This window comes from Homo sapiens, chromosome 21, assembly GCF_000001405.40.
Source record: "Homo sapiens chromosome 21, GRCh38.p14 Primary Assembly".
NCBI classification, from domain to species: domain Eukaryota; kingdom Metazoa; phylum Chordata; class Mammalia; order Primates; family Hominidae; genus Homo; species Homo sapiens.
This window is the reverse complement of record NC_000021.9, coordinates 42,270,539-42,283,828: the sequence shown is the minus strand read 5'-3', so window position 1 is coordinate 42,283,828 and position 13,290 is coordinate 42,270,539. Positions and strand designations below refer to the sequence as shown.

The window sequence follows — 13,290 nt, the reverse complement described above, 5'->3', positions numbered from 1 at the left end:
CTGTCCAGGCGGGACAGAGGTGGGGGGGTCCCCACTCATCTGGGTTGGGGGGTACTTCACAACTGTCCAGGCAGGACAGAGGTGGGGGGTCCCCACTCATCTGGGTGGTGGGTGGTACTTCACAACTGTCCAGGTGGGAAAGAGGTGGGGGTTCCCCACTCATTTGGGTGGGGGGGGACTTCACAACTGTCCAGGCAGGCAGCTGTGCCTCAGGTGGTCTAGTGCCCCGCAGTCACCACCCCCACTCCCCACCTCCCATCTATGGGGCTGGCGATGGGGGCATCACCCCATAGAAGGTGGCCTTGCTGCAGCCCAGGTGGGCTTTACTCCAGCAGGTGTTTCACTGTCCAGCAGGGTCCTGGGGGGACCTCTCTTCTCCTTTCCTAGCCCCTCAGATCTACTCCTGCTCTCATCCCCTCAACTCTGAAGTGACAGGCCCGGGGGACAGTGTGTGTTGGGCAGTCCCCCGGAGCCCACCCATCTCAGGGCATTCAGCCTGCAAGATGCTATTCAAGGGTTCATTGTGGTCTCTTTTCCTGAAGTATCTTATAGACACTGTGGGCTGTTACTGTGCAGGCCCAAGAGAAGGAAACAAGTGAGCCCCGCCATCCCCCCCTCAGAAGGCTGCTGTCACACTACTGTCAAATCTCGCTGGACTTTGGAGAGGTGAGTGAGTGGCAGAAATGAGACAACGTAAAGTCTGGCTGAAGTCATTTCAGGAGAAGCCTGGTTCCTGGCCACCCATCCTGCCTGGGACAACTGGACAGGACACATGCAGGAGTCAGGCGAGCTCAACCTGCGGCTGGGGGCACCAGATCCAGGACTCCAGGGTAGTGATTCCGCAGGGAGCCCCAAACATAAAGGGCATCACCCAGGAAAGGGGTCAGAGCGCCCGTGGGTATAGAGAGCTGGTGAGCAACTGAGGCAGGATCCTGTCCTGCAGGCGGGGTCAGAGCGCCCGTGGGTATAGAGAGCTGGTGAGCAACCGAGGCAGGATCCTGTCCTGCAGGCATCTCTGAGCCTCTGCTGTGCTAAACTGCAGGGCGTTTCCAGAACACACCTGAAGACACACCGTTTCCCAGGTCGTCCCATGACCTTGGCCCTCAGAGTGGCTGAGCCACGGGGAACTTGGTGTCATGGAAGAGATATGCATCGTGAAAGGACGTTTCCCCCAAAGCCATACCCCCAGGGTCAACACAAGCCTTGCAGGCCTGAGCACAGAGTGAGTGAGAGAGGGGGCATAAGTCAGCTCTTCTGCCCAGTGGTCCCAGATGGAAGGAGGAACCGCCGGGTGAGCTCAACTCACCCCCTCTGAGGCTACATCAGGATGTCAGGGTCACCTGGAAGAACCGCTGAATACAGGGGGTTCTTCCTGCCCCTGGACACCAGCTCAGATGCTCCTGACTTACCTGGTGGGCTCATCGAAGAACATGACTGGAGGGTTGTTCACCAGCTCCAGCGCGATGGCCAGGCGCTTGCGCTGACCACCTGACAGGCTCCCGGTCCGCGTGTTGGCGCAAGACAGCAAGCCCAGCGCTGTCAGTATCTCCTTGACCTGGGGGCAACAGAACGAGAGACATTGGGAGCTGCCCGCCAAAGCTCACCACCTCCCATGGCCCATGCAGGAAGACCTGCCAGCCGCCCTCAGCCTGCTGGACACACCGTGCCTGGCCCACGTGGAGGCCACGCAAGTCGAACCCACTCCAGGCTGCCCAGTGCCAAGTGGGGCAGGTGCCATTTCCACATCAGCCGTCCTGATGAGGGACAGAGACTGCCCAGAGGCTCTGCACTGCCCAGAGGCTGTGCAACAGTGCTGGGGTCAGATACAAGGGCCTGCATCCTCATCAGTCATATGGCCTCTGGCAGGTGCCCAGGGCACGTTCCTCACTGCTAAGCCTAGCCCAGTGCCCCATACGGAGAAGGTGTCCAGTCAATACTTGATGAATGGACACATGAGAGGATGCACAATTTCTGGTGGTTTCTGCCCAGAACGAAGGGGAGGGTCGCTGTGATGGTTACTTGAAAGAGTGGATGCAGAGTGCACAGAGCAGCATGGAGTCCGTGGGGGCTGTTCCCAGCACTCTTGTCATCGCTGAGGTAGGCATTAAGGGCAGGAACACGGTCACACACACCAGGGCTCTCGGGGAGGGGGACAGAGTCACTTTTGTTCTTGTAAATAGGTTTGACTTGAAAGCAAGGTCTCTGAGGTGCCAGGAAGGCAACGAAACAGATCTGCAGTACCCCTCAAAGCAGTCATGACCCACGGTAGCCACACCACGGCACAGGCTCTGGGAAGCAGGCTGCACGCCAGGAACAAGCAGGGCACTGCGCACGGAGCCCTCCCTGTCTGCTCCGGATTATTGATCCTGTATCGACTCAGGGAACACGAAGGTCAGCAGATTTCTGTGCTGGCTTGGTGCTGCTTTCAGCCCCAGCATCATCTCAGAAGCAGGCCCTGGGTCAGCCACTGCCATCCCTGCCTCCCTACCCTGGGGACAGCCCACCTGGAGCTCCCTCCAGCATTCACCCAGCTATTGTCCCCACCCTGCCAGGGCAGCCCTGTGGTGGCCGGCCCCTGGGAGCCATAGCAAGCGGACCCTACTCCAGCGGCTCCTCTAGGGAGATGAAGTCATCTGAAGGGAGGAAGAACTCACGAGGAAGAAAATTTCCACTCTGAGCTTCTGAATTATTTATGCACAGTCGGTACAAAGTGCAGCTTTGGTGACAGAAAGAACCGGGGCACGGCTGCTGGACAGGCCAGGGCAGGTGGCAGTACAGGGTCAGCCGACCTGGGCTCCAGCCCTGTCCTGAACCTCCTTGCTGATGCCCTCACCCCAGCCCTGGTGCCTCTGCTGGATGCCTGGCTCTGAGGGCCGCCAACCCAGAAACAGCTTCTGGAAGGCTGTCTGGAAAAGGCTGGTGGGTGGGGGGCGTGCAAGGTGGGCAGAGCCCTCTTCCCAGCTGGCATCGACTGCTGGTCTTCCCAGGACGAGGCCTCCAGATCTTCTGGAACCACTGGGCGACGCTCTTGGCCGACTGAGTGGCTCTGGTGCTTCCAGGCTCACTGTGGGGGCCCCACACATGCGGCACATCTTCTTCTCTCCCTCCACCCTCACGGAGGGGATGCTGGAAGCGGAGGCCGCTGTGGGTGCCTTTCCCTCCGCACCCCTGCCCATGAGCTGGGCCCACCCCACTTTCTCCAGTGTCCGCTCAGGAGTGATGCCACCCAGAAGGGTTCTGTTTTAAAGACTAGTCAGAAAGAACAAACAATGATCTCAGTTATTTATACATTTTCCCTAAACAAACAAACAAAAAACCTGCAAGGCCACTTGTAGCTCCAGCCCCCCTGGGGCTTCCCGGCGGGCGCTCCAGGGAGGATCTCGGCAGCCCAGGCTGCCCCTGGAGACCTCACTCCTGAGGAAGTGGCCTTGCTGGAGGGCTCTGGAGGGCTGAGGCTGCTTTGCTGGGAATTAAGGAAGGCCGTGAACAACACAGCAAAAATTCCATGATCTTCTAGAACATTCCATCCCATTGTGTTTCCATGAGACAGAGAGAGAACTTTGACCTAGGTGCACATCGGGGGTTGGAGGGAAGTGAGTGAAGGCACAAAGTTGCTGCCCTGTTCTCCTGAAGCAATCCTGATGGTGGGCCCGATGGCGAGGCATGCACCTGTGCCATGGCTGAGGAACAGCTGGGTCTGCTGGTGAGGAGCATGTGCAGGACGCAGCGTGGCCTCCAGGTCCTGTGGGGAGGGCTCTCTGCATTGTTCAATCCAGCCGAAGAGGAATCTGAGGACGGCGCCAGGGGCTCACCCCTCAGGGATGATTCAGCCACATGAGCTGATATTTTTGCCCTTGTAAACCCAGTTGAAAATAGCTGGAGGCTCTCATCCGGGCCGTGTCTTAGGCAGGGCCCAGGCACCACGAGGACACACACCTATGGGTGCCATCTGCCTTCGGGTCCCGTGTAGCTACTCCTGGGAGGCGCCTCCATTCTCCACCAAGATGCCAGCTTGTTCTGGGTCTTCCAGCTCCGGCAGGCCAAGGGCCTGGCTTGCTGTGACTTCAGCACGGAGCCTGCTGAGCAGCACTCACTGTGCGCCCAGCCCATGGGGAGAGCGACTTTCACCAGCTACCCCGGAAAAGGCTGGTGGCTGTCGCCTTATGCTGCAGGGAAGCAATCCCACAGCCCCTCCCATATGGATCACATGGGCTCCATCGAGCTCAGAGACCTTAAAGAAACCATCCAGTTCAGGTTGCACTGCCCCAAAAGGCAGGTGGGGCCTGGCTTCCTGTCCCCACGTTACAGGTGAAGCTCGGCTCGGGGCACAGCAGGCAGTGGCCCAAGGCCATCCGGTGGGTTCCAGGAGGCCAGGATGGAGGGCTCCCCCGTGTGCTCAGCTCTACTTCACCACAGGGCCTCTCCGTGTTAGCAAGTCTCTCCGCCCTCCGCCTCCTGCGTCTGCTCCCCCGGCCTCCGGTGATCCCCGAGACCCTCTCCACCGTTTGCTCTGTCCTTGGGCCTTATTTTGGGTCAGAGAGACAGAATTCCCTCTCTCCAGCGCCTCCCTCTCCAGAGCTCTTGGCTCCTCCTCCACGCCGAGCATCAGTGACCACTTCCACCGTCTCTCCTTGGAGCCCCCACAGCCGCCCCTCAGCTTGCAGGCCAGCATCTGGAGGGGTCTTTGGGACCTCGATGGAGGGCTATCCGAGACAAAGAGATTGGATTGTGCTTCCGACACCCCATGAAAGCAGGGAGGCCGGGGGATGGGAAGGAGGGCCCTGAAAGGCGGATCCAGGGGCACTGCATCCAGGCTTCGGGAGGAGCAGCTTCTTGAGTCTCCGGGTGGAAAAGCCTCTGCTTCATGGGGGCCCTGCACACTCTTGCCGGCCTCTCCTCTTGTCCTGTAGCTGATGGCAAGGAGGGCCCAGGACTGGGGGGTGGCAAAACTGACCTCAGACAGGGAGAGTGAAGGTCGCCCTGGCTCAATCCCAGGGCCCCGTTCTGTTGATTTGGGTTCATCTCCCATGGGAGACTTCGCCGAGACTCAGCTCTGACACCTGCTTTTCTCCATGTTCTTCTGTGTGCCTGGAACTAAGGCTCTCGTTTGTTACGTTCACTGCTGTAACGAAGTCCCCCACACTGGCTGGTTTCCACAACAGAAACTCCCGCCTCAATTCTGGAGGCCAAAGTCTGAGATCGAGGGCAGCAGGGTTGGTTCCTGAGGCCCCTCTCCTGGGCTGGCAGATGCCGCCTCCTCCCTGTGTCCTCACGGGGCCATCCCTTGGTGTGTCTGGGTCCTCCTCTCCTCTTCTTACAGGGACACAGTTAGACTGGACTGAGGCCCACCCATATGACCCCATTTTAACTTCATTACTTCTGTAAAGACCCGATCTTCAAATACAGCCATTTCTGGGTTTCTGGGGTGTAGGCTTTAACATATCATCTTTTGGGGGGAATTCAGGCCATAACACTCATCTTCCATAACTTGGTATAAGTAACATTCTCGGGCTTGGGAGGTGGTGTGTGTGTTGTGGGGGGGTGTCTACGTTACATTGTTTAGAAAACACTATCCAGAGGGGGCTCTCGCCTTTCAGCCTAGACAATAAACTCACAAGGCTGGGTCTTCTGCCCCCATGAAGGGCCAGGAACACATGTGATTTCCACATTTTCTCTCTTTTGGTTTCCACTCATCCATTTTCTTTTCAATCTCAGAATAAAAGAATTCCACACAGAACATTTTCTGTAGCAACAAAGAGTCATTTTCCTTCTCTCAGACATTAGGCTCTTTCCACCTGCACCGGGCATTTCACCCCCCAGCCCCGGTGACACGGGCTGAATCCTGAGTTTTGAAGGGCACAGTTGATGGGGGAGGAGGAGCATTAAGGTTGTCCAACTCTTTTTTTCCATACCAAAGTGGTTTACATTTACTTAATATTAGCTATTACAGATGACCGGAGAGGGGGAAATGCCGGAAATAGAATTGCTATGACTGTTCCTCAGTATGTTTGACTCTGTCCCATCAATCACTTCATTTTATACCAGAACACAAAGGGCCATGTCGAGCCATTGGCACTAACCCGGCAAACCCCACTCTCAGCTGCTGCCAGACTGTGAGCCTTTAAGGGTGTTAGGAGAGAAAGATAATCTTATAGAAGGGGGGTTTCCCCAAATTCCATCTCACACTGAAAATCCCACCAGCACTAGCTGCAGTGGAGAGGAGGACAGTGGGTTTCCCGTGGAGGGTGTGTGAGTCCAGGCTGGTGGCCTCCTTCCTCTGTGTGGCTTTCTGCTGCTCCCCCTGGCTCTGCCCACCTGCATCTGTCCCTGCTCCCTGGGTTTAGGAAGCCAAAAAAAAAATGGCTAAAGGGATTAGAAAGTCTTCATCATCCTGGAAACGTATTTATTTTCTTTTTTAAGAGGCCGGTTAATAACATGTAAGAACTAAATTTCTTCTTGCAAGTGTAGGTGGATGGAGGGTGGTTATTTTTAAACGAATGACTAACCATCTTCATTGTTATTGTCTTATAAAAAATTTAATATCGATCATATTAAACACTAAAAGGGCAGCACTCTTGGTCTAACCCTGAAGCTGGCATCTTCTGGCCCCATGAGTGCCAAGTCTGTTGTCCCTCACATTACATTCCGACTCCTGAATCTGAGAATCAAAGCCATGAGCGTGTGCACCAGATCTGCCTTTCTTGGCCTCTGGCTGCTGCAGGCCACAGCACTCCCTGAAATGTTGCCTGTCCCACACACGGAAGGCAAGGCAAAAACAAATCAACAAACAAAAGCCAATGCCAAAATGCCCCGGCAGGCACACCTTCCACATGCACGTCATGCACTTTCTGGACCACTTGTGGGCACCAAACAACCCACTTACCATTTCCCTTCTGCCTTCATCCTTCTCCTGAAGCTTCAGATGTGCCGACACCTGCAGGGGACAAGGACAACAGTGTGGAAGCAGAACAGACGGCCACTGGCAGTGTGAGCCTCATGCCCGCACTGCAGGCCACGGTGCAGCTAGCCAAGATGCAGCTAGCCACAGTGCCACTAGCCACGGTGCAGCTACCCACAGTGCAGCTAGCCACAATGCCGCTAGCCACGGTGCAGCTAGCCACGGTGCCACTAGTCACGGTGCAGCTATCCACAGTGCAGCTAGGCATAAGGCCACTAGCCACGGTGCAACTAGCCACCATGCAGCTAGCCACGGTGCCACTAGCCACCGTGCAGCTAGCTGATCATCATGGAAAACCCAAGGAGTTCTTGGCTTCCGATGCCCCTGCTTTAACAATGGTAGGATGGCAGGAGAGCAGTCCATGTGCGATGCTTCCTGCTATCTCAGTTGAATTCTCTGCTGTACCCAGGAGAGAAGTCAGATGTGGGCCATTTAGAGGTAAGAAAGCCCCAGGCATCAGGGGCTTGGCGACCAGCCTGGGCGGAACCAGTGGTGCGAGTTAGGAATTCCACAAACCGCCTGTTAAACTGCTGAGGCTTGAACTTATCCACAGGAGAGTCTTTACAGCACAGGAATTTACGAGGGCGACACGTCAGGATGCCGCGTTTTGTTGTTGTTGTGTTTTTTGAGATCCCGTTTGCTAACACAGCACTGGGCTCCTGGCCCTGCTTGGGAAAACCCAGAGTAGATCACCATGCACAGGACGGGCCTTGCTTCCACCCTCCTGCCTCCCGTGGCCTTGGGCAAACGTGCAACCTCCATTTCCTCACTGGCACAATGGTGAGGTTAAGCTCTGTCCACCTCATTAGCTAGAGAAGTTGCTGTGAGGATCAGAGGAGAGGGTGAGATGCAGGGCGGTGGCGGGGAGGGGGGCGGGGTGTGGGGCAAAGAGGTCTCAGGCCCCAGAGCTGGACAGGGTCAGGCCCACGCTCCTGCCATGTGACACTGCCTGCCATTTCTCAGTCTGCCTGGCTGCAAGGATGAAAAGCATAAACATGCACAACTGTGTCTGATGTGGGATCCGGACTCCGCAACGGGCGGCCAATATCTCCTCCGTGTGAGACAGGACCTTGAGTGGTAACATGTACCATAGCCTCAGAGTATTTCTCCAGGGCCTCATGAAATTCTCAGAATCAAAATCGAACTGAATTTGATTGTGAAAATAGATCATTTCACAGCAGGTTCGGTGGCGAGGTTGGGAGAGGACAGCAGGAGTCCCTAGTCGCATCTGTGGAGAATGCAGCCATTGAGCTGCGGTCCCAGTGAAGGGTCTCGAGCATGTGGCCATGGGGTTCACTCAAGAACTTACTGAGAAGTCAAACTCGGGCTACCCAAGACGCAGGAGCTGTTCAGGAATCAAGAGGGTGTGCATGGAGTTTGCACTTAGGGCATACATGGAACAGTGAACATTAGGGTCAAGAAAAACTTCACGACTGCTTTGCAGCATCTGTTCGCCAACTCCTCAGAGGTCCTCTGCGCCCCATCTGAACATCCATTTGGAGGCCAGATCAGCAGTCAGGGCTCCATGGGGCACACACCGCCCAGGGATGCTGGGCCCAGGGGAATGGCGTCTGCTTACCCACAGAACACGCAGGACCAGGGAACACGAATGGGAACAGCCCCACAGGTTCCTGCTTCTGTTTCCCCACAAAGAAGTTTAGGGAGCAGATCATGTGTCTGCAAACGTAACCTGCTTCTCTTTGCTGAGCTAAGAACCCCTTGGCACTGCCCTTCACGTGCCACTCTCAGACACCATGGGGAAGAAGCTTTGCCCAACCCAAGTCAGGGTCTCTCCAGGTGGAAAACCAAGGCGAACCCCCATCTACTGACCAAAGCACAGAGCAGATCAAGCTGAGGATGCCCCCTAGGGTGCCAGGAGAGACATGAAGCCTGGGGACTCTTCTTTTGCAGCGAACAAGGAGGAAGCAGAAATATAAACAGTCCCCCACATAAAGCCAGCCATGACTGGCAACTGGAGCTGCACACTGATTTTCAATCTCCTCTTAATGGGAGGATTCTGGTGGTTGCCTCTGCTCACAGTTAGGTCTGTGTGGTTTCAGTCGCCATGAGTTGGGCCTTTAAAAAAAAAAATGGCCCCTGCCGGGCACGGTGGCTCACACCTGTAATCCTAGCACTTTGGGAGGCTGAGGTGGGCAGATCACGAGGTCAGGAGTTCAAGACCAGCCTGGCCAACATAGTGAAACCCCATCTCTACCAAAAATACACAAATCAGCCGGGCATGGTGGTGGGCGCCTGTAGTCCCAGCTACTTGGGAGGCTGAGGCAGAAGAATCGCTTGAACCTGGGAGGCGGAGGTTGCAGTGAGCTGAGATCGTGCCACTGCATTCCAGCCTCGGTGACAGAGCGAGACTCTGTCCCCAAAAAAAAAAAAAAAAGGCCCTGGAAACCCAGATGCATGGCACTTGGCTGGGTCGCGGTCTGTCCAAGGAGCACAACCAGCTATTCCAGAAACCCAGGCAGAGGATATCCCCTGGACCCTTCTGTGGCCCCAAGAGGGGAAGATATTTTTAAACTTCCCCAAATACTGGATTTATCCACAGAGGACATAAGTGAAGATACTGTGGGGAGGCTTACTAGGAGTGAAAAGAAACAGTGACCAAGTTGAATTGATTAGGCACCAACTGCATGTCAGAATTCTACCCCACCTTCCCTGTATTTTCCCTTTCAATATTTACACCAACCCCATACGGTCTTGCAGATGAGGACACTGAGGCTGTGAGGATAAAGCAGGTGCACGGCAGGGAAGCTGAGCTGGCAGTTAAAGGTGCGCCTTTGGAGACAGACAGCCCTGGCCACGTGTGGCCATCAGCAGCCGTGTGACCCTGGGCTCCTGGCTTCACTGGGGGAAGCTCCATTTCCCACCCACTTTTTTGGGATGACATATCTGGTGTGTGTAGAGCTATGTGCTCAGGGCCTGGGACCCAGGAGATGCTCGGCCACTGCTGGTTTCATTTTCCCACCTGGGAGGCAGGTGAGTCAGAGGAATAGACCCTTGGTATCCTGACCAAGGCACCAGGCGAGTGGGTGCTTGGGCCAAAGACACGGAAAGACTCAAGGATAGCTGACAGGAAGGAGAATCCCAAGCACTGGCCTGCAGGAGAAATAGTATGGTGGCTGCCCTGGAGAGGATCACCCAAGCCAGCCGGGTTAATAACCTTCTCAGAAACTTGACCCCAACCCTGCCAAACAAGGTCCATTAAACTCACAGTCTTGGGGGGTTTTGGGATGATGCTGCCTGTCCCAACAGCGAGTCTGGTGTTAGAACTCCGCTAGAGGGAGGTTGCTGGCCCTGTGCAGGCCGCGTGGCAGAGCCCTTGGGTCCCTCGCAGCTGGGCACTCGGCCAGTGCTGTGTCTAATGTGGGCGCTGGGGACAGGCGGCAGGGGCGGAGTGGGGCGGGGCAGGGCGGAGCTCACCATCATGGCCTCCTGCACAGTGAGATGCGGCAGCAGCATGTCATCCTGCATGATGTAGCAGGACACCTTCCGGAAGCAGCGCAGGTCCCGGGGCAGGCCGTTGATGAGGACGGCCCCCTTCATGCCCGTCTCCCTGCAGAACCAAGGACAGGAGAAGCCGTCAGCCGGGCTCCTGCTCCTCCTCCACCTCCCGGGGCAGGAGAGGGGAGCCAGAGACGGGGGCTTGCCTCCCAGCATCTTCCCAGCTGAACCACTGGCCACGGGGACCCCGAGGGGCAGAAAGGGACCGGACCTCGCTAGCACTGCAGCGATCGGGAGGAAGACATTCCACAGAGAAAGCTCCTGCTGGGAAGAGGAAGCTGCACACAGGCCTCCGTGGGATGGTGTGTTTATACTAAGGGTAACGGCAGCACTTTCTTGACCTGCCAAACAAAGATTGGCAGGGATGGTCCTATAAGCAGCCGCGAGGTCAGGATGTACAGCCCCTGGATTTGTGGGGGTTTGTAACGTTGGCTTCTGAACAATTCTGTGTGTAGCTCAGGCTACACCCAACTGCCCAAAGGCCGGACCTCTGCAGACTTCAGGCCTGGGAAGGAGCAGAGAGGGGCCTGGGGCCCGGACCAGCTCAGCCGAGTGGATGGCCCTTCTCCACCAGGGAGAATTCTCTCTGCTGAGCAGGCTGAGAGCCTCCCAGGTGCTCATGCAAGGCAGGCACGGCCTCACCAGGCACACTCATTCACTGGCTGGTTCATCGGCTCACTGCAGACCTACTGTGCGCCTCTGCTGCCTGCCGTTCTGGGAGCATCAGTGCAGCCCGGGAGCTGGTGCATGCCACAGGCAGTCTACACACTGTGCTTCTAAGGATCCAGTCTCTCTAGCCCTACCTCCTAGACGTTATGGGGAATAAAACAGAGGCGAATCTACGGAGACTAATGAAAGCATGTCTAGCTTCCAACTTTACTCAGCTTGTTACTATGACTGTGGGCCTGCGGCCGGGTCTCTTCTCTCCTCCAGGCACAGGCTGGGGTCAACTGGCTTCCCCTGGATCCCCAGGTCTGAAGGCCCCATCCTGAGTGGCCTCTGCAGCTCCGAGATGCCAAGCACCCACACAGGCTGCCAGGAGCTGTGGGTGTATTGATGATCTGAGAAACAGCCACCCCTGCAAGAATACTCCACTCCTCTCTGGCCCTGCCTCACTCTGAGGATTCAACTTCAACCTTTAGATGTGACTGTCACAGGCAGGAATTTGCCATAAGTGAGGTTTTTTCAAACCCCAATTTCTGGCATTAAGGTGTAATTCAGAAGCTCTAAGGAAAAGGGTGATATTTGCCATTTTTTCAGTAAATGAAATTATTACTATTATTACTATTTGCCAAAGTTAGTAAATAAAACCAATCAGACATGAAAATAACTGACTTTAACAGAGCATTTTCTAAACACTTCTAAAGATTCTAAGTTTTCTAATCATTCCCAAATGGATGACATTGGACACAATGGTCGCCAAACTTCTTTGTTGTTTTTCTTTGTTGTTGTTGTTGTTTGTGTGTTTTTGAGATGGAGTCTCGCTCTTGTCACCCAGGCTGGAGTGCAGTGGTGTGATCTCAGCTCACTGCAACCTCTGCCTCCTGGGTTCAAATGATTCTCCTGCCTCAGCCTCCTAAGTAGCTGGGATTATAGCACCTGCCACCACGCCCAGCTAATTTTTTCTGTATCTTCAGTAGAGATGGGGTTTCATCATGTTGGCCAGGCTGGTCTAGAACTCCTGACCTCAGGTAATCCGCCCACCTCGGCCTCCCAAAGTGCTGCGATTGCAGGTGCGAGCCACCACACCCGGCTCAAACTTCTAAACAACTAAGACCATCACAAGCCCCAGCCAAACAGTTCTCATTCTCTTCTGAAAATGCCTTGTCTCTCTTCAACTTGCATTCACTCCTGTTCTCTCCAAGTTCTCTGGCCACCCCTCTCCCTGAACTTGACCTTCCTACTTCCTCCTGTCCCTTTAGCCAGGCTGAGCTCATCCAGGGTGCTGCTGTGGCCACTGTCTCCAGGGACCCCTCTCTGAGTGTGGCTCTCCACCCATCATATGGCCCTTGGCAAGTGCAGCCTCTCAATGTCACTCTCTCCCCTGGACTACTGCTGTAGACCACAGCCTGCTCCAGGTGATGGGGCTGATGGAAGGAGCTCCACTGTTCCCACTGCTGGCCTGACACCCGGGAGAGAACTTTGCGCCCTGGGCAGGGCTGCTCACCTGTATCCAGCCAGGATGTTCATCAGCGTGGACTTCCCGGCCCCGGAAGGACCCATAATGGCCACCAACTCACCACTATTGAACTTCCCGGAAATTCCTTTCAGGAGGGTCTTGTATCCTGCAAAAAAGCAGATCATATTCATATTCATTTCATTTTATCTCTAATGCAGTAAATATGCAAATGTTCAAGTACACATGACCAAGGCCAAAGGCAACCTTTGACATGCATCATAGAAAAGGCTGCATTCCAGGGAAGAACATGAACTTCATGTCTTTCGAATTCCCTGGTCTACGTCTTCAATTGCATTTCACAGGTTATAATAATGATAATAATTACCAGCACGTGTGTAATGCTTTAGAGCTCACAAAGCACTTTCCCACTCATTGTCTAGTCTATGGGGAATCCACCATTCCCGTCTCAGAGTGAGGAAGCGATGTCCGGTGGGCCCAGGTGACCTGCCCAAGCCCTCGGCCAGTATGGGCAGAACCCAGCTCTGAGCTGCAGCACTACCAGCTTGCTCCTGCCCCGAGATGCCATGCATGTGTCTGTTTTAATTAATAATTCACTTACTGCATCTACAAATTATTTATTTATGCTTTATATATTTACATAAGTATAAATTATGTATATATGATTTATTTATAAATA

The 13,290-nt window shown here is 55.0% G+C and overlaps 1 protein-coding gene across 12 annotated transcripts in view, besides 1 other annotated feature; it reads right to left on the bottom strand.

The window, feature by feature from the left end:
- Window positions 1-13,290, bottom strand: part of ABCG1 (ATP binding cassette subfamily G member 1) — a 97,556-nt gene that overhangs the window by 13,416 nt on the left and 70,850 nt on the right. For all 12 annotated transcript variants that reach the window (NM_207627.2, NM_207628.1, NM_207629.2 and 9 more), the window contains 4 exons: window positions 12,642-12,759; window positions 10,394-10,526; window positions 6,884-6,934; window positions 1,410-1,555 (listed from right to left, as the gene is read on the bottom strand). In NM_207627.2, coding sequence (NP_997510.1) covers window positions 1,410-1,555; window positions 6,884-6,934; window positions 10,394-10,526; window positions 12,642-12,759 — 448 coding nt within the window. The remainder of the gene's footprint in view (window positions 1-1,409; window positions 1,556-6,883; window positions 6,935-10,393; window positions 10,527-12,641; window positions 12,760-13,290) is intronic.
- Window positions 11,303-11,472: an enhancer, noted in NCBI's record as "experimental_62106 CRE fragment used in MPRA reporter constructs". NCBI's record gives its function as "activates a minimal promoter by MPRAs in K562 erythroleukemia cells, with activity observed for both the introgressed and non-introgressed 21:43692552 variant alleles {active_cell/tissue: K562}" and the evidence as "EXISTENCE:reporter gene assay evidence [ECO:0000049][PMID:34662402]".